Source organism: Homo sapiens, chromosome 16 (assembly GCF_000001405.40).
Source record: "Homo sapiens chromosome 16, GRCh38.p14 Primary Assembly".
Classification (NCBI taxonomy): domain Eukaryota; kingdom Metazoa; phylum Chordata; class Mammalia; order Primates; family Hominidae; genus Homo; species Homo sapiens.
In genome coordinates this window covers 1,305,579-1,328,108 of record NC_000016.10, presented here as the reverse complement: position 1 = coordinate 1,328,108, position 22,530 = coordinate 1,305,579, and the positions used below count along the sequence as shown (strand labels likewise).

The 22,530-nt window shown below is 59.5% G+C and overlaps 1 protein-coding gene across 9 annotated transcripts, besides 7 other annotated features; it reads right to left on the bottom strand.

Annotated features, from left to right (window-relative positions):
* Positions 1–1,091: 1,091 nt before the first annotated feature.
* Positions 1,092–18,957, bottom strand: UBE2I (ubiquitin conjugating enzyme E2 I). 9 transcript variants are annotated; one of them, NM_194259.3, is made up of 8 exons: positions 18,336–18,473; positions 15,506–15,762; positions 14,013–14,089; positions 13,733–13,816; positions 12,383–12,455; positions 7,826–7,935; positions 7,592–7,671; positions 1,092–3,379 (listed from the first exon to the last, which is right to left on the bottom strand). In NM_194259.3, exons 3-8 carry the CDS (start codon positions 14,076–14,078, stop codon positions 3,316–3,318), a joined length of 477 nt encoding a protein of 158 aa, NP_919235.1. In that variant the 5' UTR covers positions 14,079–14,089; positions 15,506–15,762; positions 18,336–18,473; the 3' UTR covers positions 1,092–3,315. The 9 variants fall into 9 exon arrangements, with proteins under 9 accessions (NP_919235.1, NP_919236.1, NP_919237.1 ...); NM_194260.3 differs by lacking the exons at positions 15,506–15,762; positions 18,336–18,473 and adding an exon at positions 18,690–18,957; NM_194261.3 differs by lacking the exons at positions 15,506–15,762; positions 18,336–18,473 and adding an exon at positions 18,838–18,957.
* Positions 2,298–2,467: an enhancer, noted in NCBI's record as "active region_10220". NCBI's record gives its function as "activates an Ori minimal core promoter by ATAC-STARR-seq in GM12878 lymphoblastoid cells {active_cell/tissue: GM12878}" and the evidence as "EXISTENCE:reporter gene assay evidence [ECO:0000049][PMID:35858748]".
* Positions 15,870–15,919: an enhancer, noted in NCBI's record as "active region_10219". NCBI's record gives its function as "activates an Ori minimal core promoter by ATAC-STARR-seq in GM12878 lymphoblastoid cells {active_cell/tissue: GM12878}" and the evidence as "EXISTENCE:reporter gene assay evidence [ECO:0000049][PMID:35858748]".
* Positions 17,352–17,963: an enhancer, noted in NCBI's record as "H3K27ac hESC enhancer chr16:1360147-1360758 (GRCh37/hg19 assembly coordinates)". NCBI's record gives its function as "activates a minimal SCP1, AML or CMV promoter by ChIP-STARR-seq in primed H9 embryonic stem cells {active_cell/tissue: H9 hESC(primed)}" and the evidence as "EXISTENCE:reporter gene assay evidence [ECO:0000049][PMID:30033119]".
* Positions 17,935–18,124: a silencer, noted in NCBI's record as "silent region_6969". NCBI's record gives its function as "represses an Ori minimal core promoter by ATAC-STARR-seq in GM12878 lymphoblastoid cells {active_cell/tissue: GM12878}" and the evidence as "EXISTENCE:reporter gene assay evidence [ECO:0000049][PMID:35858748]".
* Positions 18,325–18,624: a silencer, noted in NCBI's record as "silent region_6968". NCBI's record gives its function as "represses an Ori minimal core promoter by ATAC-STARR-seq in GM12878 lymphoblastoid cells {active_cell/tissue: GM12878}" and the evidence as "EXISTENCE:reporter gene assay evidence [ECO:0000049][PMID:35858748]".
* Positions 18,665–18,904: an enhancer, noted in NCBI's record as "active region_10218". NCBI's record gives its function as "activates an Ori minimal core promoter by ATAC-STARR-seq in GM12878 lymphoblastoid cells {active_cell/tissue: GM12878}" and the evidence as "EXISTENCE:reporter gene assay evidence [ECO:0000049][PMID:35858748]".
* Positions 19,115–19,404: a silencer, noted in NCBI's record as "silent region_6967". NCBI's record gives its function as "represses an Ori minimal core promoter by ATAC-STARR-seq in GM12878 lymphoblastoid cells {active_cell/tissue: GM12878}" and the evidence as "EXISTENCE:reporter gene assay evidence [ECO:0000049][PMID:35858748]".

Sequence of the window (22,530 nt, the reverse complement as noted above, 5' to 3'; positions counted from 1 at the left end):
CCAAGCCACACGTGCTCGGTGGTTTTCTTGTGCCTGTTCCTATTTCTTCCTAAGAGCCGGATAAGCCGATCTCCTGGCAGGTGCAGAAGCCTTTGGACCAGGCTGGGCCAGAGACAGGCAGGGTGGATGGGACCAGTTGCCCCAGCCCCTTCCCACCCAATGGGCCAAAGCCAGGAGCCCCCACCCCAACTGGGCCCAATGGCTTCCTCAGACCAGGTGGTGCCTGGGGATCTCAGGCTGTGTCTCCTGAGCAGGTGCTTCAGGACACTCCCAGACCCAGAATCAGGGTCGGCTGGGGATGGATCCCAAACCCAGCACTCCCAGGCCCCTCCCTGCTGGAGCTGGCTCAAACCAGCTCCAGCCAGTCCGAATCAGTGCAAGGCCCTCCAACCTGGCAACTTGTCGTCATGGTAATCATGAGGAAGGCTTCCCATCAGCGGATCCCAGTGAGTGATGGCGGGGCCAGGCCTCAGGTCCAGGAAGGTGAGGCGACCTGGGGACCAGCAGCCTGGCCAGGAGCCTGCATTCCTGCGGGCAGCGGCCAGCATGGTGGCCAAGTCTCCTAGCCTCCTCCGGCCCAGCCAGACCCAGGTCCCAAGGGACCTGAGAGACGGAGGGCACCTGTGGCTAGCCCGACTGCCAAAGCCAAGGGAGGTCTCCCCCGGCGCCAGCTCAGGCCTGGCTAGCCCGTCCCGCAGGGGGCTGGGGTCCCTGCACCTGTGCACCAGACTCCTACCTGGTGGCTCCAGCCAGCCCTGGATGGGCCCTGTGAGGAGAGCTCTCTGGACACCTGGGGTCCCTGCTCCCCAAGGAGGTCCCCTGCCAGGGACAGCAAGAGCAGCCTTGAGTCCCAGGGAGGAGACCCGTAGAGCAGGCCAGGGAGGTGCAGGTGAAGAGACCCCGAGGCTGGCTAGAGGGGATGTCACCCGGAGGGGCTGACGTGGGGCTGGAAGCAGGACCAGAACAAAGCCCTGGGGGGTAGGGCTGGGCCTTGGGGTCGGGGGACGCCCTGTGGCCCCAGTGGGCTCCCACCCCCAAAGCCCAGGGGAGCCAGGGACAGGGCAGGAAAGGACACACCCGGCAGGCCGCAGTCTGTGCAAATGCTTTAATGGTGGATTCTTAGATACAGTGGTTAATCCATTGCCCACAATTCTTTACTAATTCCGAGGCACCTCATGCCGGGAACACACTTTCCCTTCCACTAAACAAAGGTGACCGCGTTTCAGAGCTCTCCTCTTACAAGGTTCACGTCCTTCGTTAGGCCGAGGACCGTGGTACTACAAAAGAACATTTCGTTAGCTGAAGTCACTACGATTGGCGAGAAACATCCGTTACTTCAGAATACGTTAACTACAAAATATATTGAATTTCCATATGTATTAACCATATACATGTGTAACTATTACTAAATGTAGTTCAGTCATTACAAAATAAGACATTCTGGGAGCGGGCTACAAATATTCAAACCAGCTGAATTCCCCAGGTAAGGCCCCGTGTTATAAACAAACCACAAACATCAGACGTCAGACCGAGAGCTCAGTGACTGCAGGGTGCGTAGCCGGAAAAGCCAACAAGGCACTGGCACCGCAGAGTCGCTGGAGGGGTGGTGGGGGGCACTGCCGGCTCGGGGGGCCTTTGGAAGTCACCTCTAACTTCGATTCCCAGCCAACAGCGGCTGGAGTCCCACACGGACCTGGAGGGTGCCGAGCTCCCCTTCCCAGGGCCCTGGACCGCCCTCCCTGCATTCTTTGCTCCTTTGGGGAGCCCCGCCCTGCCCTCTTGGGACCCTGCACTTGGGCCACGGGGACCCAGCTCCAGCCACCGGGGGGTGCCAGGGCAGCAGGGCCAGCTCCAGCCCCAAGGCTTGAAACGAAACTGAGGAGGGCCAAGCTCGCTAGGATGGGGAGACTGGGTTGGGAGCCAGAGGTTGGAGGGCTGGGAGCACCGGGCTGTGTCCCCCAGGGCTTCCCATCTCTGTCCACTGTGCCTTCCTGCTGGGAGGTGACCGGCACCCAACTTCCCAGCCAGGCCACTTCCTGCAGTGGCTCAGGCAGCCCCAAGAGGCCTGGCCGGCCCAACCTTTGCAGAGGGCTCAGCGTCAGGACGGCTGCTGAGGCGCACAGCCTCCCCAGGACAGACCACACTCAGGTGGCCTCAGGACGAAGAATTCCAGACACAGGCTGCCCAGGGCCCTCTACCTGGCGCTAAGGGTCGGGGAAGCCCTGGAGGGCCACGGCTGTGGGCTCTCCCAGAAAAAGCACCTGGCGTTTGCCACGGGTGGTAGCAAGGCTGCCTCCTGAGGACACAAGGGACAGACACCTGAGGTGGCACCCTATGCACAGCGCAGCTCCATCCCTGTGACCTGGCCACTGAAGAGGGGAACCCCCGCCAGCAGGCTGCCCGGATAGGAGTCCTCAGGCAGCCCCCAGCCCTGGTCTGGACCTGGCCTTGTGGCCCCCAAGACAGCTGGCACCGGTGCAGTTGCCAGGGTCTCGATGCCAATCCCGACCTATGCAGATCTTAGCTGCCCAGCGCTCTACAGCCCGCAGATGCGGGGAGCACAGAAACCTCAGCAGCACTTTGTACACAGCCCTGTTTACAAAGATCCAGGGCAAGACAGAGCCTCACAGCCTGCGTGCATCCGAAGCAGATGGAGAGCCTGGTCCTGGCCCGCGGTGGGGCTGCAGGTGGGTGGGGAGGGCCGGGCACTGGGAGGCCGCCTCCTCTCACTTTCAATGATAATAATGCAACCAAAACCTTTATATAAACAGTTTATTTACTCTAAACAGCAACACAGACAAAACGCCATATAAACACAAAGGAAGTGGCGCAGAACCGAGATGCTGACCTGGGGTCTGAGGCTCAAAAGCAGCACAGCCCAGGTTCTAGAAGGTTCTAGAGAGGAGCGGCAGGAGGGAGGGTGCATTTCCATACAGCCAGCTGAGGCCAAGTGCAGCTCTGCACGGTGAGAAGCATGCCTGCATCCCAGAGCGAGGAACTCGCCCCTGGGGGACTTACCCAAGTATAAAAGTTTATAATTTTACAGCAGTTGAAATACTGACATCAATATTAAAATAAAAGCGAGTTTTACATAACAATCAAAAATACAAAAGACCGAAGGAAGAGACCCTGTATGGAAACGGGCAATTCAGCGAATCGAGACCGCACACCCGCGGCGGCAATGGAAGATGGCGCCCGCCCAACCCCCCCAGGTGACTAGTCATTGTATGGAGCAACTTTAGATTTGCAAAAATGTTGTAAACAAGTTCTTGCCAAACCAATCCCTTCCTTTTGACGATGCCACAAGGTCGCTGCTTATGAGGGCGCAAACTTCTTGGCTTGTGCTCGGACCCTTTTCTCGTACTCCACTCTGTTTTGGCTGAGGAGGTCAAAAGAGAAGAGACGTGTTAGAGGGCTGAGCTGCCTGGCCCTCACGCTCGCCCCGGAGCCAGCTGGGCAGACCAGGCTGCAGGATGGGACCTCCTGGGGGAGGGCAGTGTGGAGCTCGTCATAGTAACAGAAGCAGAAGCCCGGAGAAGCAGGGAGGCCTGCGTGGTGGGGAGCCCATGCTGGCTCTGACGTGGCTGAGACTGTCCCGTGGTCTGACGGGGGCAGAAGGGCAGGGAGGAGAGGAACCCACGCTGGGTGAACGTGGTGTTCAAGGGGGACAGAGGGGTCCCGCAGGGCTGCGAGGAGGGCTCAGGCCCAGAGGGCCCACGCCAGGGCCTGCAACATCGTTGCCGATGCCAAGTCTGGTCCTAACTAGTAATCAGCAGCTTCTCTTTTCTGTAGGTCTGGGGACAGTCCTAATAAACTGAAAACACTGACTGCTTGCCACTGTTTTTGTTAATTCCCAAAAATAGACACCAATTTCTGGAGGGTTTTTCCATGAGGCTCTCAGCCGCAGGGGCAAAGGTGTGGGAAGGCAGGCCTGGTTGAGAAGGCGTTGTGCCCGAGCTGGGCAGTGCAGGGGCATCAGCGAACAGGTCTGGAGCTGGGTAGAGTGAGGCTCAGCCTGCAAGCAGCTGCCCAGGAGAGTGGCATGGCACACACTGCCCGGGCAAAACAGGTGGGCGGGAGGGCGGCCGAGGCTGCACCTAGGGGCTGATGGGTCACAGGGTGCAGTGTGACCCTGAGGATGGGGGAACACCATGACATTTATGGAGGTGGCTCCTGGGGTCGCAGTCCTGCCAGTCTCGCCAGGATTGGACCTGGTCTGAGACACTGAGCCTCACTCTGCATGGTGGAACAGCCCAGGACGGCAGCAGCGCCGGTGCCACCCCCACCCACGCCAAGGGCCTGGACCGCAGCCCAGACCCCAGCGCCCTCCTTGGGCCACCAGCCGGCCCCAGGGCAGAGCAGCTCAGCTGGGTGGGCGTGGAAGGAACCAGAGGCGGTGGCTACACGTCCCAGCTCTTCCTTGACCAAGCAGAGGCCCCGAGAAAAGGCACCTGCCAGGGCAGGAACACGGTCCAAGGCCTCCAGGAAACCCAGGAAAAACGATCTGAAACCCGCACACATGCTTCACAAAGGGTGCTTTTCAAGCGGATGTGTGTAGGAGAAAGAACGTTTGTTTACGTGCACGCAAGTGTACAGTGCAGCCCAGCAGGCACCAAGCCCAGGAGACGCTGGGGAGAGTCACACGGGGCGGGGGACTGCAACCCTGCCCAGCCCACGCCGCAGATGGGAGCCACAGCCCAGCTCTGGAGATGGTCGGCAAATGGGGTGCAGGCCAGACAGAGCTCACGCCCACACCATGCTGGGGATGGCAGACCATCTAAGGGCTAGGCAGGAAAACATTTGCCTTTTGTTTTGTTTTTTTGAGACAGAGTCTGGCTCTGTTGCCCAGGCTGGAGTGCAGTGGCGTGATCTCGGCTCACTGTAAGCTCCGCCTCCCAGGTTCAAGCCATTCTCCTGCCTCAGCCTCCCGAGTAGCTGGGGTTACAGGTGTGCGCCACCACGCCCGGCTAATTTTTTTTATTTTTACTAGAGATGGGGTTTCACCGTGTTAGCCAGGATGGTCTCAATCTCCTGACCTCGTGATCTGCCCACCTTGGCCTCCCAAAGTGCTGGGATTACAGGCGTGAGCCACCGCGCCCGGCATGCTTTTTTTTTTTTTTTTGAGACAGGGTCTCACTTTGTCACCCAGGCTGCAATCTTGGCTCACTGCAGCATCAACCACCTGGGCTCAAGCAGTCCTCCCACCTCAGCCTCCCAAATAGCTGGGACTACAGGCATGCACCATCATCCCCGGCTTAATTTTTTTTTTTTTTTTTTTTTTAAAGAGAGCAGGTCTTGCCATGTGGCCCAGGCTGGTCTCCAACTCCTGGGCTCAGGTAACGTCCCACAGTGGCCTTGCAAAGTGCTGGGATTACAGGCATGAGCCACCACCCCTGGCAAATTTTTTAATTTTTTGTAGAGATAGGGTCTCGCTATGTTGCCCAGTCTAGTCATGAACTCCTGAGTTCAAGCAATCAGCCCACCTTGGCCTCCCAAAGTGTTGAGATTACAGGTGTTGGGCCACCACACTTGGCCTAGAAATCATTTTCCAGGCACGGTGGCTCATGCCTATAATCCCGGCACTTTGGGAGGCGAGGCGGGTGGATCACCTGAGGTCAGAAGTTCGAGACCAGCCTGGCCAACGTGGTGAAACACTGTCTTTACTAAAAATACAAAAATTAGTCAGGTGTGGTGGTGGGTGCCTGTAATCCCAGCTACTTGGGAGGCTGAGGCAGGAGAATCACTTGAACCCAGGAGGCAGAGGTTGTAGTGAGCTGAGATCACACCACTGCACTCCAGCCTGGGCGACAGAGTGAGACTCTGTTTAAAAAAAAAAAAAAAAAAAAAAAAGAAAACATTTTCTGCCTCAAGGGCCATGTGGACACCCACGAGCACTGTGGCTTCCTGTCCAAGGGAATGCATTTCACGGACTCCTAGGGCACAGCAGGCCAGCACACAAACCCAGGTCACGCCACGTCCCACGAGCCACTTCCAGCAATGGCTTGGCTGACTGAGCGGCTATGAGTTTTTTTTTTTTTTTGAGACAGGGTCTCGCTTTGTCAAGCAGGCTGGATTGCGGTGCTGCAATCTCAACTCACTGCGCATCAACCTCCTGGGCTCAAGCAGTCCTCCCACCTCAGCCTCCCAAATAGCTGGGACTACAGGTGTGCACCACCATGCAGGGGAGCCAGGCTGAGCCTGGGGTGGCTGCTGTGATACTTGCTCCCTGCCTGGGGCCTCTGTGCCACCCTCGGCCACCAGGGAGGGCACCTTGCAGACACCTGGGCTGGGCCCGCATCCAGGGAGAAACACATCTCTCCAAAACCACGTGCTTTTTTTTTTTTTGAGACAGCATTCCTCCGTCGCCAGGCTGGAGAGCAGTGGCAGGATCTCGGCTCACTGCAACTTCCGCCTCCCGGGTTCAAGTGATTCTCCTGTCTCAGCCTCCCAGGTAGCTGGGATTAGAGGCACCCACCACTACGCCCAACTAATTTTTTGTATTTTTAGTAGGGACGAGGGTTTCGCCATGTTGGCCAGGCTGGTCTCGAACTCCTGACCGCATGATTCACCCACCTCGGCCTCCCAAAGTGCTGGGATTACAAGCGTGAGCCACTGCGCCCGGCCGAAACCAGGTGCTTTTCCTCACGACCTGTGCAGGCCGGGCCTAAGGCAACCGGGACCCCTCAGCCTCCCCCCTCCTGACCAGGAGATGCACCCTGGAGGGAGAGGGCCTCTGATGCCCACAGTGGCAGGGATGTGTGGGGTGGCTGCAGGTGAGCCTTCTGGGTCCCTGGCCATTGGGGGCCCTGAGACCCCCTCAGAGGTGTGGGGACCCGTGGTGAGATGGGGCTGGGTTTCTCAACGCTGCAGGCGGAGCAGTGGGGGGTCGGAGGCCCCAACCCACCTTCTTATGGACCTGCCCAGAACAGCTGCAGAGGGAACAGGACAGGCGGGCGCATGGCCTCTGCTCAGGGCAGGGTCCTCCCTGCTTTCCCCAGCACTGTTTGGCTGTCGTCTGCATCCTAACTCACACCAGGCCCTCCTCGGTGCAGACAGGACCCCAGGCCCACGGGGACCCTTCTAGCCACAGCAGCACCTCACAGGGACAGGGTGGAAGCCCAGGGTCCGTGTGACAGCATCACGTCACTGAGCCCTGCTGGGCTGGGCCCCCCCACAGAAGGAACCAAGTTGTAGAGGGGATGGGGACAAGCAGCAAGGGCGGCGCGGGAGGCTGGGGTCCATGGGAGGCTGAGCCGGTGGAGAGGCCTCTCAGCATGGCCTCCTCTGGCACCCACGCCCAGGGTCCTTCCCCTCCTAGCTGGCCACAACTCACTGGGGCAGTGGCCCAAGACAGCCCGTCACCTGGCCTGCTCCCTCCCCGGGACACGGCTCCGGCGCCATCCATGCCCACCGCAGACGGTGTGCAACGGTGCCTGCTGCCCACAGGGTTTATGCCCCCCGACCTTCCCCACAGAGGCGTGGACCCTGGCTGTCCGTAGGGTGAGCCTGTGTCCTCCACTCCCGTCCTGCCAGGCGGCCTTGGCTGGGACGGGGAGGAGCTGCCACCAGCGGGGCCAGGGCTGCTACTAACCAGTAAATCGTGTAGGCCTCTGCTTGAGCTGGGTCTTGGATATTTGGTTCATTTAGAAGTTCCTGTATTCCTAATAGGATCTGTGCCAGAGACAAAAACACAAGACGGGTGTGAGCAGTTTGAAAGGGAGACACCGTGAGACTCGGCCTCAGCCACAGAGAATGACCACAGACCCACGTGTCCGGAGGGGAGACTAAGGCAGCCCTGCCGGTGCCAGAGGCGGAGGCCCCGTACCTGTTTGATTGTGATGGCTGGCCTCCAGTCCTTGTCCTCCTCTAAGATGGACAGGCACACTGTCCCCGAAGGGTACACATTCGGGTGAAATAATGGTGGTTCGAATTTACCTGGAGGAAGAGGAAGAAAGGAAGCACTTTTTGGAGGCAGGCACTGTCCCAGAGTCACGTCCTTCCCCACATCACCCTCCTCCCAACACTGGGGCCCCGGGTTGGTAGCCAGGTTATTTGGCCAAAAACTTTTCAAAAAAATTAAATTGTGGCCATGAGGAGACTAAAGGAAGACATATCCACCTTTGCACACAGGGAACAGAGCCTTGGGGACACGGCCGCAGCCGAGACGAAGCTGTGTCTCTCCCAGGACAGAACTCCCAGCACAGCCAGGCAGTCTGGGAACACAGGCCCCAGGGTGGCCACTTAACCTGTGGCCCCCACATCCTTTCCAGCTGGGCCAGACTCAGGGGAGATGGGAGGAGCTGCAGGAGACGTCCAGGGACATAGCCAACGCCCTTCCAGAGTCGGCTGTTCCGACGCAGACCCTCTGCTTCCAGGATATACGGGCTTTTAGGACCCTGTGTTATTTCTTTACAAAAAAGCAGAAAAGTTTGCCACCATTAGCCCCACCAGGGACCATCACAGTTGATATTCTAGGCTATTTCCCATCTTTTACCTGGGCATCCTCCCTCTTCTCTCTCAATGCTACGGAAGGACACACAGTGCGGCATGTCTAGTGCAGCCGGAGGAATTACCAGAAAGCCAACGCGCCACGAACACCTACAGCTTCCCCGAACACTCGCTCCTACCGACCACTGCATCTGCCCCGTAATCCCAACTGCAACATCCGCAGGCAGCTTCCTGGACTTCAGGTACCATGGAGATGCACAGGGCACACTCCCTGGGGAACGCGAAGACACCACCGCAGACCGTCCCACACCGCGACCATCCCACACCGCAGGAGCACACGGGCGACACCAGCAGCTGCGTGGCTGTCCTGAGTGCGAACACGCGTGAGCGCGCTGCTGTGGAATGTGGGGTGACGGTGTTGGCCCTCAAGCCGTGCTGCTTCCAGGCTGCTCACGCAGGCTGCGTCGCTGGCGGATTCCAGCCACCGGGTGAGGTGCACGGCAGCCACTCCGTGGTGCTACGCTGCGCCTGCTGGTGACCGCTGAGCGCCCCTTTCGGCCCAGGCTGCTTCCTGGCGACTGCTTCGCAGAAGTTCCTCAAGCGATACGTCTTACAGGGCTCTTCTGCTTGGGGCTTGACTTTTTGCTTTTTTAATTTTTTGAGATGGAGTTTCACTGTGGTGCCCAGGCTGGATCTCGGCTCACTGCAGCCTTCACCTCCCGGGCTCAAGTGATTCTCCCGCCTCACCTTGGCCTCCAGAGTAGCTGAGGTTACAGGCACCCGCCATCAAGCTTGGCCAATTTTTCTATTTTATTAGAACCGGGGTTCCTCCACTGTTGGTCAGGCTGGTCTCAAACTCCTGACCTTAAGTGATTCACTTGCCTTGGCCTCCCAAAGTGCTGGGATCACAGGTGTGAGCCAACGCGCCCGGCCCGACCTTTTCCTCTTCTAAGGGAATCTTTTGGCAAAAACAAAAATTGCCTAATTTCAATTTAATCTGATTCTCAATCTCGTTTCTTCTGCCGATCACAACTTACCCGCAGAAAGGCACAGATGCTGGATGCCAGCACTGCCAGGTCCACCTGTCCCTCCCAAGGTAGAGGCTGCCTCCTACTTCCTCATGGCCTCCGGCTTGGCCGCTCCCGCGCTTCAAAGAAGGAACACAAAGGGGGTGCCCTCCTGTCTGGACTGTCCGCCAGGCATCATGTGGCCTCTTCACTCTTCCCTACCTGTCATCCTAGGACGTCTGGGCTGGGGCAAGTGGGGGTGACACCGGCACCCATCTGTGCCTCTGGTGGACACATGTATGTGCTTCTGTGAATCTCGACTGACTCAAGTGAACAGCCAGGTCCTACAGCATGAGCTCAGCTTCCACTGGTGTGGCAGGCAGCGTCCAGGGGAAACGTTCAGAACATCCGCTCTCTCCAGCGGTGGCTGAGGCTCCCGCTGCCCTGCGCCGCGGCTCCGTCTGCTCCCCTGTGCGCTACGGCAGATCCCACTGGGGAGGCTTTCACTCTTTGGCAAAGCCAGGCATCCCTGCCGCATTTGCTGGCTGGGTGGAGGCCTTTCCTGTGAGGGACACGCTGGACGTCATGGCAGCCTTCTTACTGATTCCCAGGAGCTCTTGGTAGATTCAGGGTGAGGGCTGAGGTACGTACATACACTGTAGTGTGCCCTCCTGCCCGGCGCCAACTGCAGTCTTTATGATAAAGAGAGATTCTTAATTTCAACTTAGTCAACTCGTCAATCTCCCTCCGGCCAGCACTTCACTGCATCCCTGGTGAAGAGATCCCTGCCTGCCCAGGGCTCACGGACACCATCCCGGGTCTTCCTCTCCACGCTGTCCTGCTTGGGCACCACAAGCCATCTGGAAGCTGTTTCTCTATGGTGGGAGGCAGAGCTCGTCTCTCCTGCTGGAATATCCCTCAGGTGTCACAGCCCAAACCACCACATGCGTGGCCTCCGGACTCCTCGTTCTGTCCGCGGGTCTGCCTGCCTGTCTTCTCAGCAAGCCTGCAGTCTCCATCACCGTGTCCCGTGGCAGGTCTAGTGGGGGGTGGGTGGGTGTGCTCTGCACCCACGGAGCCTCAGCCTGGGTCTCGCCACCCCACCAAGAAGCCAAGGCCTCCACGTTTCTGCATTTCCTGGGTCCATGGGACAGTTTCCAACAAGATGTGCTTGACTCCAACTGGGATCACATGGAATCTGCAGACGAGCCTGGAGAGAAGGGCTGTCTGTACAATGTCGTGTGTTCCCCTCCACACACACGGCAGAGCTCAGCTACCGCTCAGGCCGGCCTTGGTTTCCCTTGCAATATTCTACAGTTTTCGGTACAGAGGTCCTGAACCAATCTTTTATTGCATTTATTCCAACGTATTTCATGCTACTATAAATGGCAGTTTTAAAACCTTGCTCGCTGAAATGATATAAAAGCAGATTTGTGTACCTCAATCTCGACTTCATTTTTATATTTATTATTTAGCTTTGTTTCCTTTACCAGGTCCTGTGCTACTTTTCTTTTCTTTTTTTTTTTTTGAGACAGGGTCTTGCCCTGCTGCCCAGGCTGGAGTGTAGTGGCGCGATCTCGGCTCACTGGACCCGCCTCCTGGATTCAAGCACTTCTCCTGCCTCAGCCTCCCGAGCAGCTGGGATTAAAGGCACCCACCACCACACCCGCTAATTTTTGTTTGTTTGTTTGTTTTTTTTAGTAGAGACAGGGTTTCACCATGTTGTCCAGGCTGGTCTTCACCTCAGGTGATCCTCCCACCTCGGCCTCCAAAAGTGCTGGGATTCCAGGTGTGAGCCACCGTGCCCAGCCTTGCACCTCAGCTTTACTGAGCTGTTGTCCTGGCCTTCCTCCCCACCTCTTCCGTTGTGACTTCTTTTTCTTGTCTTGCTGCATTTGCTTGGAATTCCAATCAACGGTTGAACAGAATCAATGAAAGCAGCTACTGTGTCTCATTCTTATATTTTTCTTAATTAAAATAAGTCATCTTAAGTAATACCTGCTCATGGTTTAAAAAAAAAATCAAACAGCAAAGGACAATCCAAAAATGAAGCAAGTCTCGACCAGCTGGTGCTGTCAGCAGTCCTCAAGCTCCTCTGGTCACTGCCACTGTGGAAAACACTTGTGTGTCTTGAGTGACAATTGCAGTGGAAGCTTTTACACAGCACTCTCGCCTCACCGTGGCCAGGCGCTGTCTAGGTGCTGGGCACGTGTTAATGCGTGGAACTCACCACAGAAAGGGCCTGCCGATTTCCAGCTATGGGACGGCAGGGACGTGGCGGCCCTCTCCTCCCTCTCCTGAGTTTTGCTGAACTGACTGAGATCACTAACTTAGCTGTAGGCTCAAAGTCGAACCTGGCCTCAGCCCTTTCTTCTCGCGCCTTCTCTGCTGCTCCCCTGCTCTATGCCTGCCCGGCTGCAGACGCAGCCCCGGGTGGGAGAGACTGCGAGAGCCCACAGGAAGAGCAGTGAGGTGGGGCAAGATAAACCCTCCAGTGAGACTCGGAGTGGTGGCGCTTCTGCACGTCCATCCCATCCAGGGCTGGGGTCTTGTGGGCACCAAATCCTGTCTTCATCGCCAACAATCACTGAGGGTCCAGGCACTCCTAGCCCAGGAGCTCCAGCCTGGATCTCACAGCCTCTCCCTGCAAAGGACTCTGGAGCTTCCCAGCCAATTAGCTGGGATGAGAGACTAAGTCTATTACGTGCACCGCCCACCCGTGGAGCTGGAAACAGACTCGCATCTGCAGCCTGAGGCGGGGATCAGGGATCAAAGCCGACCTCCAAATCTGTGATCTCACTCCCTCCCAGCTCCATGGATCGCCCGGACCAGGGCGCCACGGCCACAGCCACGGGCCTCTTTGGAGAGGACTCCAATCCCCGCAGGAACAGGCCGACTTCCAGGACACTGAACAGGGAGCTACTTACATTTTGGTGGCGAAGATGGATAATCATCTTTGAAAAGCATCCGTAGTTTAAACAAGCCTCCTTCCCACGGAGTCTGTGGGGAAATAAACCGTGGTGAGATGGGCTGCTTGCCTGCCGCAGGCCGGCCCAGGAGGAAGGGGATCGCTTCTAGGACACAACCTCCAGGACTGCGAGGACACCGGGGGCCAGAGGCCCGACAGAGGCGGCTCCCATACCAGCCTGAAGCCTGGACCAGCCCCACCAAGGGGGCGGTCAGGACCTCTGCCATGCCCAGAGAGTGAGTCGGAAAGGCCCTCCTGGAAAGGAGAGGAGGAGACGGGGGTCGGGGGCTGGGCTGGGGGGCAACGAGTGCCGCACACTGGGGCCGGCAGCGCCAAGAGCACACCCGTGCCCTCACCCCAGGGTGTTCTGCAAGCCCCTGCCCCAGGTCCCGCCTGGATGAGGCGCCTTTGCCACCCCACAACCCGACACCACTCCCGTCTTCCTTGGGGCCGCGCGCGCACCTGCCTCGCCGTAATGTGAAGGGCAAGGGACGTTCTCAGCAGAGCCTCAGACAAGTGACAAATCCAAGCCACATCCTGTCTCGGGCAAAGCTGAGTCCTGCTGGGACTGCTCAGCTCAGGGGGCCGGAGCTGCTGTGAGTTTCAGAGCGAAACCCAGAGGCTGGCATGGGCCGGAGGGAACAAGGCCTCGGGCAGGACCAACACCTCAGGGATCTCTCCTTCCTTCAGAGTCCACGAGCATGAACCTTATGTGCAAGCCGGCCTGGAGTCCCTGGCCAAGCACTTCATGTGAGCCGGGCAAAGAGGACAGGCACATGGGCCGCCCTGCTTGCCACAGACACACGGGGCCCCAAGCAGGCATCCTAGGTGGCTGCCGCCAGTCCCTGTGCCCCAGGAGGTTCTCCAGTAGACGGTTTTAGGCCGGGGTGGCTCTCCTGCAAACCCAGCTCCCGCGACCTGAGCCACACCTGGAAGGACACAGCAGAATCCCGGGTTCCAGCACGCAAAGGCTGCCCGCCCCTCAGGCCTGCTCCCAACACACATCAGAGCCCCTTCCCCTCTGCCACAGCTCAGCCCTGTGCCCGGCCAGGCCCAGCCTGCTTCCTTCTCAACCAGAAATGCCCTCGGTAGGGACACAGCTGTCACCCCAACCTTGCCAGCACCACCTTCTGAGCTCAAGTCCTCACGGGGCGGGGGCCAGGCCACAGCTGGGGATCTGAGCTGTTGACCGCGGCCTGTGACAAGGGTGGCCGTCACGGACGGCAGGGATCTGAGCGGAGTATCCCCATGGCACTGCCGCACGCATCTGCTGAGCCCCGACAGGCAGGAGGCCGGCAGCGCCCCTTACCCCTTTCTTTCCTGGAATGGCGCACTCCCAGTTCATGAGGTTCATCGTGCCATCGGGATTTTTTGTTGGGACAGCCACGAAACCCTGAGAGAAAAGAAAACAACCACAAAAGCATATCAGCGTGGCGGCATCTAGTTTGAGCAAAACCACCAAGAACCGGCCTGCGAGTCCCACCGGCCCAGCCCAGGCACGCGACCAGCTCCCTCCCAGTAGGGAGGGCGCGGTTTCAGCCGAGGGAGCCTGTCCGCGGCACTGCACACAGAAATGAAGCCCTCCTTACAAATGGGTGGTCTTTCCTCCATGCTTTCCTCTCCTGGGCGAGTCTGCTGAGGGCGATCCCCGACATGTTCAAAGTCCCTGGAACACAGGAGGCAGAGCACGGGGTCAGGAGAGGCGAGCGGGCTCCTGCCACCCCAGCACGCGCACGTGGCCCGCAGCAGGCAGGCTTGCTCCTAACATACGGTGGCCTGGCCCAGCAGGGACTCTCTTCTTGCAAGCCGTCGTCCGACCCCGGGGGTCTACCAGGGGAGGCCTTGTGAGCGGCGCCCAGATCACCGGGAGGCGGGGGCAGGTAGGACCCCTCCCCATGGCCCCAACCCAGCCCTGGTCTGCGACACATGCTGCGGCCTCTGCTCGAAGGTGAGGAGACAGATGTTCAGAGGCTGGGCCGCTGCGGCTGGGGGGTAGCTGCCACCCTGTGGTGGCTGACATGGCAGGGTCCTCACCATACCATCAGGTGGGGACTAGGCAGGGCTGGGGCCCCAGATGGATGTGGGGTGCTGGGTCCCTGCCTTAGTATCAGGCGCTCAGAACTGAGACTCAGGCTGGGCCAGGGGACACCTGTTATTCTTTTTTTTTTTTTTTTTTTTTTTTTTTGAGACAGAGTCTCATTCTATTGCTCAGGCTGGAATGCAGTGGCACGATCTCGGCTCACTGCAACCTCCGCCTCCTGAGTTCAAGCAATTCTCCTGCCTCAGCCTCCCGAGTAGCTGAGACTACAGGCGTGTGCCACCACGCCCAGCTAATTTTTGTATTTTTAGTAGAGATAGGGTTTCACCATGTTGAAGACAGAGCAGAACAAGTACCACAGGGCAGAGGCTCAGCCTCACTGAGAGAGGAGCCCTCCACGGGGACACCCTTCCCAGACCGTGCAGCCACTACCACGTCCCTGTGGCTTCAGGGGACAGACGGGTCCTGCAGGGCAGGGCAGGAGCATGGGGTAGGGGACCAGGTCCCTGATCAGAGGCAGCGGCACACACGCCAGATTCCAGCTCCACACATCTGCACGGGACCTCGGGGGCTTGGCACCTTCGCCTTTGCGTTCTCGGCGGGAGCCTGTCGGCCAGCACTGTCACTGGGGACACCAGGCAGACAGGGCCAGCAGCCTCAATGCCACCCTCAACTGTCACCCTACTGGTGGCCACCTTTACCCACGAAAAACAGCGCTCAAGATACAAAACTTGCCCAAGAATTCAAACCTAAGTGTGTGCTGGTTTTCAAAGTCCATGGGAACACTGAAGCTACTACCCCCAAGTCTGATATCTCAACACCAAACAAGAGCCACCTCTACAAAGCTGGGGGACTGAGCCAGGTCTTCTAAGCTGTGGGGGGCCGTCCCTACTACGGCTTGGGCTGTCCTAGAATAGCCACAAGGGCCCTGGGGACCTGGATGGCTCCCACACCTGTGGAGGCCCACGAACCTCACACACCTCGCAGCCGCAGAAAGGGGCCAGGTCAGCAGCTCCACCTGCGTCGGAGCCGCCGCAGCCTCACCTGGCACTCGTTAGGGAGACAAGGCCCAGTCCCCGGCAGACCCACGGACGAAGGAGCTCTGAGAGGCCCGCACTCAGGTTCTGGGTGGCACGATGACTTCCCCAGTCAGCAGAGCAGAAATCGGGGGTGGGGTTGGGATCAAAGAAGCCAAGGCAGGTCCAGTGTCGCCAGGGCACCAGGCTTCTGAAGCTGCTAGAGCCGCCTGCCCTGCAGGTGAATTTGGCTCCTTTTCACCAAACACAGATCCTCAGGGCAGCCTGAGAAAAAGCAGGCGAAGGAACCTGGGTCCTCCAGTCAGCAGGCGCTGGCGTCACAGCGAGAGGGTGACAGGGGCCAGCCGGGCACTGGCCTCCAGGTCCACGACTAAGTCCAAGACAGGCAGCCCGGGCTGGAGGCAGCCCCAGACCGGGCCCCACCGGGATGTCCTTCCCCACGCCCTCCTCACATGATGCAGAGGAGCCCGCAGGCCGCCCGCCCTCTGGACCGTTTGCCCTTCCCCGTGCCCTCCTCTAAGTGAGGGGGGGGGAGCCAGGGGCCAGACAGGGAGAAAGTGGGGGGCACAGCTATGGTCAGGCAGGGTTCGAGCCCAGAGCGGAGTGGAGCGCCCGCCAACCACGGTTTCAAGGCTGTCTCCGCACTGGGCTGGACTCCGAAACTCCACACGTTCCTCCACCCTCCACTCCCACGTGGAGCAGCCCAGCTGCGACTTGAGGACTCACAGCTCTCGCTTCCCCAGCCCCAGGATGGGCTTCCTGAGTGGCCGCAGCCTGTGCCCGGTGCGGTGCAAAGCAGCCTGGCGAGTGGCCATTTCAAGGAGGCACGACCTCCCAGGTGCCCGGGGTCTGAGCGAGGCCAGGCATCAGGCAAGTCTCTGAAGCCTCAGGCCAGTGCTCCAGACACTGAAGGACCATGGGCAAGGCTATCCTCACAGCCAGGCAAGGCCAGGCCACAGAGAGGCCAGACGGGCCTGGGACCCTGCCACAGGCAGCCCTCCTGCTGAGGACTGGACAGAGCCGCCTAGAGGCCCCCGTCCCAGCACCTAGCTATTGCTGTCTCAGGTGTGAGAAGTCGTGAGGGGTGGTCCTGCGAGACCTCCTGCCAAGACCTGGCTGCTGCTGCTGTGTCCCCTGCCCCAAAGCACTCAGCACCACGGGGTGGTCTCACAGGCACTGCACCGCCAGGGCAAGGAGCCACAGGTGCACACCCACCGTGTCCCAGACAGAAGCCAGGCCCCTCCCCCTGCACCCCCTCCTACTGGCCTTCTGGAGAAAGCGGCCAATCTGTTACAATGTAATCACAACACAGATCAAGCGTTCAAAATTCCGCTGAAAATCGAATTTGCCCTTCCAAATTCACAGATAGGCACTTAGTGAACGGCTAGTAGTTACTAAACGCTTCAGAGCAAGAAACTTTTATGATGCAAAGACAAAAACAACCCTCATCTATTAGAGCCAGGCAAGGCCCAGACACTGCAGAAACGGGGACAGGGCCGGGCACTCCAGGAGCGGCCCGAAAGTCTGCCTTCTGTCCTCCTGCTGGGCGCCCGCAACCGGCTGAGCTTTAGCTTCTCGGATCACCGCCTTGCTCTGCTGGTTGACAGCACCGACTTCAGAGCAACTTCCTGGCTGAGGGTGAGCAAAGCACTCACCTCCCACAACTCCACCGCACTGATCTCCACAACGGGTGGTCGCCACGACAGGCTGGCACAAGAAGCCTTTAAAGGCCCTCCTGCACCCAAATGCAAACTCTCCCAGGCTTGGGGAGGTATTCCCTTCTGCAAGACCCAAGCACCTGCAGTCGGGAGACGCTTACCTGGCCGCACCTGATCTGCCCCAGGCCCCGAGAATGTTTCTGAAGCAAGATCCCAAACCCTGAGACACCATACAAGCGCACACCAGCAATCACCCAGTGGCCTAGGGAACGGACCTCTCTGAATGAGCAATCAGGGCAAACTGAGGATCCGTCCCGTCTTCCGTTGCATAGGTTCTCTACCCAAAGGCAACGTTTCTTGAAGAGCAAGAAACACTTGGGGTAGGTCCTGTAAAAGGAAACAAACCGAACTCCCCAAAGACAGGCACTTTGCAAACAGAGAAACTAAGCGTAACTTCCAATTATACAAACAAAACCACTTCATTCTGCGATTCAAGCGTGACTACAGGCCACGATCACAAGCCCAACTAATCATTCCCTTACATTCCTCCTACGCACGTTAACTACCAGAACCAACTACTATTCAACCGATAAAAAGAGATGTCCAAAACAGAATAAAACTCCCCCTCCAGCGAGGCGCTCACGTTCAGGGCCCCAGCAAGCGCCAGCGGAGCATCTTCAGAGGCACAAGAAAACTTACACTTGTTTTGGTTTTAAGGCACCGAAAACAAGCCCGCTCGCCGGCCCCCACCCCCGCGAGCCAGCGATGTTGCAATCCAAGACTCTCCCCCCGCGGCCCATCCTATCCGTCCGCGGGGCGACCGTGACCCCGGAAGCCGCTCCCCGCGCAGGAGGAAGGCGCGGCCTCGCGGGGCCCCGGCTGCAGGTGGCTGCCCCGGCCCCGCGCCAGGCGCACCTCGGGGGCGAAGTGGGGGAGCCCCGGCCCCGAAGGCCTGCGGCGGCCCGGCCGCTCGGGCCGCAGCCCAGCGGCGCCAGCAGCGCGGACCGAGCCGGCGCCGAGCGCGGGGCCTCTCGGGCTCCCCGGAAAGCTCGGCCGCGGCGCGGGGCCCGGCTCGGCGGGGCGGGGCGCGGGGCAGTCGGGGGCCCGGGCCCAACAGGAGTAGAGGCCTCGGCCCGACCCCCGCCCCGCGGCCCCGGCCCGGCCCCCGCACGCGCTCACCTCGGGCGGCCGCAGCCCCGGCGAGCGTAGCGGACAGGTGGAGGACCGAGCGGGGCGGCGGCGGCGGCGCTTCCCTTTGTCTCGGGACTTCCCTCCGGAGCCCGCTCCGCGCGCAGCCAGAGCAGCTCCGAGGACCCTGGCGCGGGCGGGGCGCGCGGGGCGGGGCCTAACGCGGGGCTGCCCTCTGCACGCCTGCCTCGCGCGCCGCTCCTGCCGCCCGGCCCCGAGCGCCTCCCGCGCCGCCGAGCGCTCCCCGTTGCCCGCGCCCCGCCGCCGCGCGCCCGCGCCCCGGGTCCGCCCCAGGAGCCCGGCCGGGGGGCGACTTTCCAGTCAGGCGGCGCCCTGGACACCTACGCCCTTAAAGGAGCCGCGTCCCCGATGTGAGGGAGCGTCTGTAAACTCCCCTTCGGGCTGCCCGCGTCCACCCGAGGACACGCCGGCAAGCAGCGGGGGAAAAAGGAAGCCGAGATCTCCAAAGGCTCCCCGGATGCCTGGCGGTCACCTCTCCAGCCACAGGTCCCGGAGGTTTCCTTGGGGTCAGGTCCTGGGGCCGGGGGTCAAAGACCACTGAGGCCTAAGGATCCTCTGAAGCGTCGCAGGACGGTGACGCTCCCGCGAGTTCAGCGCCCTGTGAAACCCCTTGCAATTGGCCAGTTCGGGGCGGTAGGCGGGGACACCTTCTCATCCGCCCAATGAGCTGACCCCGTACAAAAGGCCGAATGCGAGCATGACCGACGGGAGGAGAAGTGTGGATGCTCCCTAAACCGGGGGCTGGCCCTGGGCCGGGGCGCGGGCGGGACGTGGGGGACCGCGAGCGGCGGGGGCGGGGCGAGCCCGTGGGGGAGGGGCGCTTCCGGTCCCCCCTCCCGCCCACGCAACAAGCAGGACCGGGTCGGGAGGCCCCCAGACCCGCGAGCGCGCGGGACAGTCCGTTCGCCAACGCGCGACCGTGCTGGCCCCCGGGCTCTCCCGGCCCCCCCGCCCGCATTTCGCCGACGGCGGGGCCGCAGCCAAGGTCACGGTGTCCGGGTGCTTGGGGACCGCGGGGAGTGACCACATTCATTCATTCCCTCCCTCACTCATTCATTCATTCCCTCCCCTACTCCGTCATTCCCTCCCTCACTCACTAATTCCCTCCCTCCCTCACTAATTCCCTCCCTCCCTCATTCATTCGATCCCTCCATCACTCAATCATTCCTTCCCTCTCTCACGCATTCCCTCCCTCACTTACTCATTCATTGCCACCCTCACTCACTCATTCCCTCCCTCACTTACTCATTCATTCCCACTCACTCATTCCCTCCCTCACTCACTCATTCCCTCCCTCACTCATTCCCTCCCTCACTCACTCATTCCCTCCCTCACTCATTCCCTCCCTCACTCATTCATTCCCTCCCTCACTCACTCATTCTCACTCTCACTCATTCCCGCCCTCATTCATTCATTCCCGCCCTCATTCATTCATTCCCACCCTCATTCATTCCTTCCCTCCCTCACTCATTCCCTCTCTCATTCATTCCCTCCCTCCCTCACTCACTCATTCCCTCCCTCACTGATTCCCTCCCTCACTGATTCATTCATTCCCTCCATCACTCATTCATTCCTTCCCTCACTCATTCCCTCCCTCACTCATTTCCTCTCTCATTCATTCATTCCCTCCCTCCCTCACTCATTCCCACTCTCACAAACTCATTCCCTCCCTCACTTACTCATTCCTCCCTCATTCATTCCCTCCCTCATTCGTTCATTCCCTCCCTCATTCATTCATTCCCTCCCTCCCTCATTCCCTCCCTCCCTCATTCATTCATTCCCTCCCTCATTCATTCATTCCCTCCCTCATTCATTCCCACCCTCCCTCATTCATTCCCTGCCTCCCTCACTCATTCCCTCCCTCACTCATTCATTCCCTCCCTCCCTCACTGATTCTCTCCCTTATTCATTCCATCCCTCACTCATTCCCTTCCTCCCTCATTCACTTCCTCCCTCACTCATTCATTCACTCCCTCCCTCATTCATTCATTCCCTCCCTCCCTCACTCATTCCCTCCCTTACTCATTTATTCCATCCCTCACTCATTGCCTCCCTCCCTCATTCCCTCCCTCTCTCCCTCATTCATTCATTCCCTCCCTCATTCATTCCCTCCCTCACTCATTCCCTCCCTCACTCATTCATTCCCTCCCTCACTCATTCCCTTCCTCCCTCATTCATTCATTCCCTCCCTCACTCATGCATTAATTCCCTCCCTCACTCACTCATTCCCTCCTTCACTCATTCACTCCCTCCCTCCCTCACTCATTCCCCCACCACCTCCCACAGGGTCCCCAGCGGGCATTTCCCTGTCAGGCACCTGCAGCAGGAGGGGCAGCCACACACCCTGGGTCTGCCTGCCTGGGAGGCGCAGCCGTGGGGATGTGGGTCCAGGGCAGCAGGGGCAGCCTCCCCCAGAATCCAGTCCCTGGAAGCCATGCACAGCCCTGTCCCACCAAGACCAGCGGGGGCCTGGCCTGGCTGCAACTCCCAGGCTCAGAGCCTCCGTGGCCTGTCTAGACACCTGCTGTCCTGGCCCCCAGCCTTGAGGTCCTGGGAATCTGCTTTTTTTTTTTCCTTTTTTTTGTGAGATGGAGTCTCACTGTGTTGCCCAGGCTAGAGTGCAGTGGCGCCATCTTGGCTTACTGCAACCTCCACCTCCTGAGTTCAAGCGATCCTCCTGCCTCAGCCTCCCGAGTAGCTGGGATTACAGGCGTGCACCACCACACCCGGCTAATTTTTGTATTTTTAATAGAGACGGGGTTTCACCATGTTGGCTAGGCTGGTCTCAAACTCCTGACTTCAAGTGATCCGCCCACCTCGGCCTCCCAAAGTGCTGGGATTACAGGTGTGGACCACCACGCCCAGCTGAAATCTGCATTCTTAACCAGCCCCCTGGGCAAGCCTGGCAGAGGGATATGGCCCTTTGGCTTCCTGACATGGGCTAAGGTTCCAACGCCATCTTTCTGGCGAAGATGCCAGCACAGGGCTGTGTGGGGAGGCGTCAGCCAGTAAAAGCCGTGGCTGAAGAAAAGCAAGACAGCCACGGGCCTCGGTGGATCCCGCTGCAGCCTCAGGCACAGAGAGGGCAGGGCTGGTGAGGTGGGGGGCTTGTCATGAGTGGGGCTTGGGGAGACTGACTGGATGTGGTGTGTGGCTGGGGAGGGCCTGGGCCTGAACCTGTGGGCCATGGGAGCCATAGAAGGTTGTGGAACAGGAGAAGTAAGACAAGGCCCTGGTTCCCTGTGTGTGTGTGGTGAGGGACTGAGGAGACATGGCTCAGGCATCTAGAGAATTCCTGTCCTGGTGGGAAGTAGTGCCAGGAGGGGCTGGGGTTTGGGGAGGCTGTGGCAGGTGAGGGTGAGGGACATGGAGCAGGTAGGGGTGAGGGTCATGGAGCAGGTGGGGGTGAGGGGCATGGAGCAGGTGGGGGAGGGAAGAGGCTCCCTCAGTTGTGCATCCTCAGCCCACAAGTGTCCTTTGAGCAGCCTGCACCTGGCACACGTTTTCAAGGAGAGGGGACTTGTTGGGTCCAGCTCCCTGGGTACAAAGGAGAAACTGAGGCTTGGAGAGGGTGGGGGGTTTGAATCAGTAACTATAAGATCCTGGGCAAGGCTTGTGGCTGACTGTGCCAGGCACGCGCCCACCTTTGCCCTGGTCCCCTTGGGAGGGGAGCAGGAAGTGTGATGCAGAGCTGCCTGCGGTAGGGCGGGACCTCCAGTGCCCTGGGTGCCCCCTCCGGGGCCTGCTGGGGCCAGGCTCTGCACAGGGGTTTGAGAGCAGAGGCCTCTTCACTGAGGGCCGATTCCCCCAGAGGAATAAGGGCCTCTGCAGTAGAGTGAAGGTGGACCCTTACCCCGGAGCACGCACAAAAACCAGCTCAAAAGTCAGCCTCGGGCCAGGCGCGGTGGCTCACGCTGGTAATCCCAGGACTTTGGGAGGCTGAGTAGGGCAGATCGCTTGAGCTCAGGAGTTTGAGACCAGCCTGCCCAACATGGTGAAACCCTGTCTCTACTAAAAATGCAAAAATTAGTTGGGTGTGGTGGTGCACGCCTGTAATTCCAGCTACTTCGAAGGCTGAGGCAGGAGAATCTCCTGAACACGGGAGGCAGAGGTTGCAGTGAGCCGAGATGGCGTCACTGCACTCCAGCTTGGGCAACAGAACGAG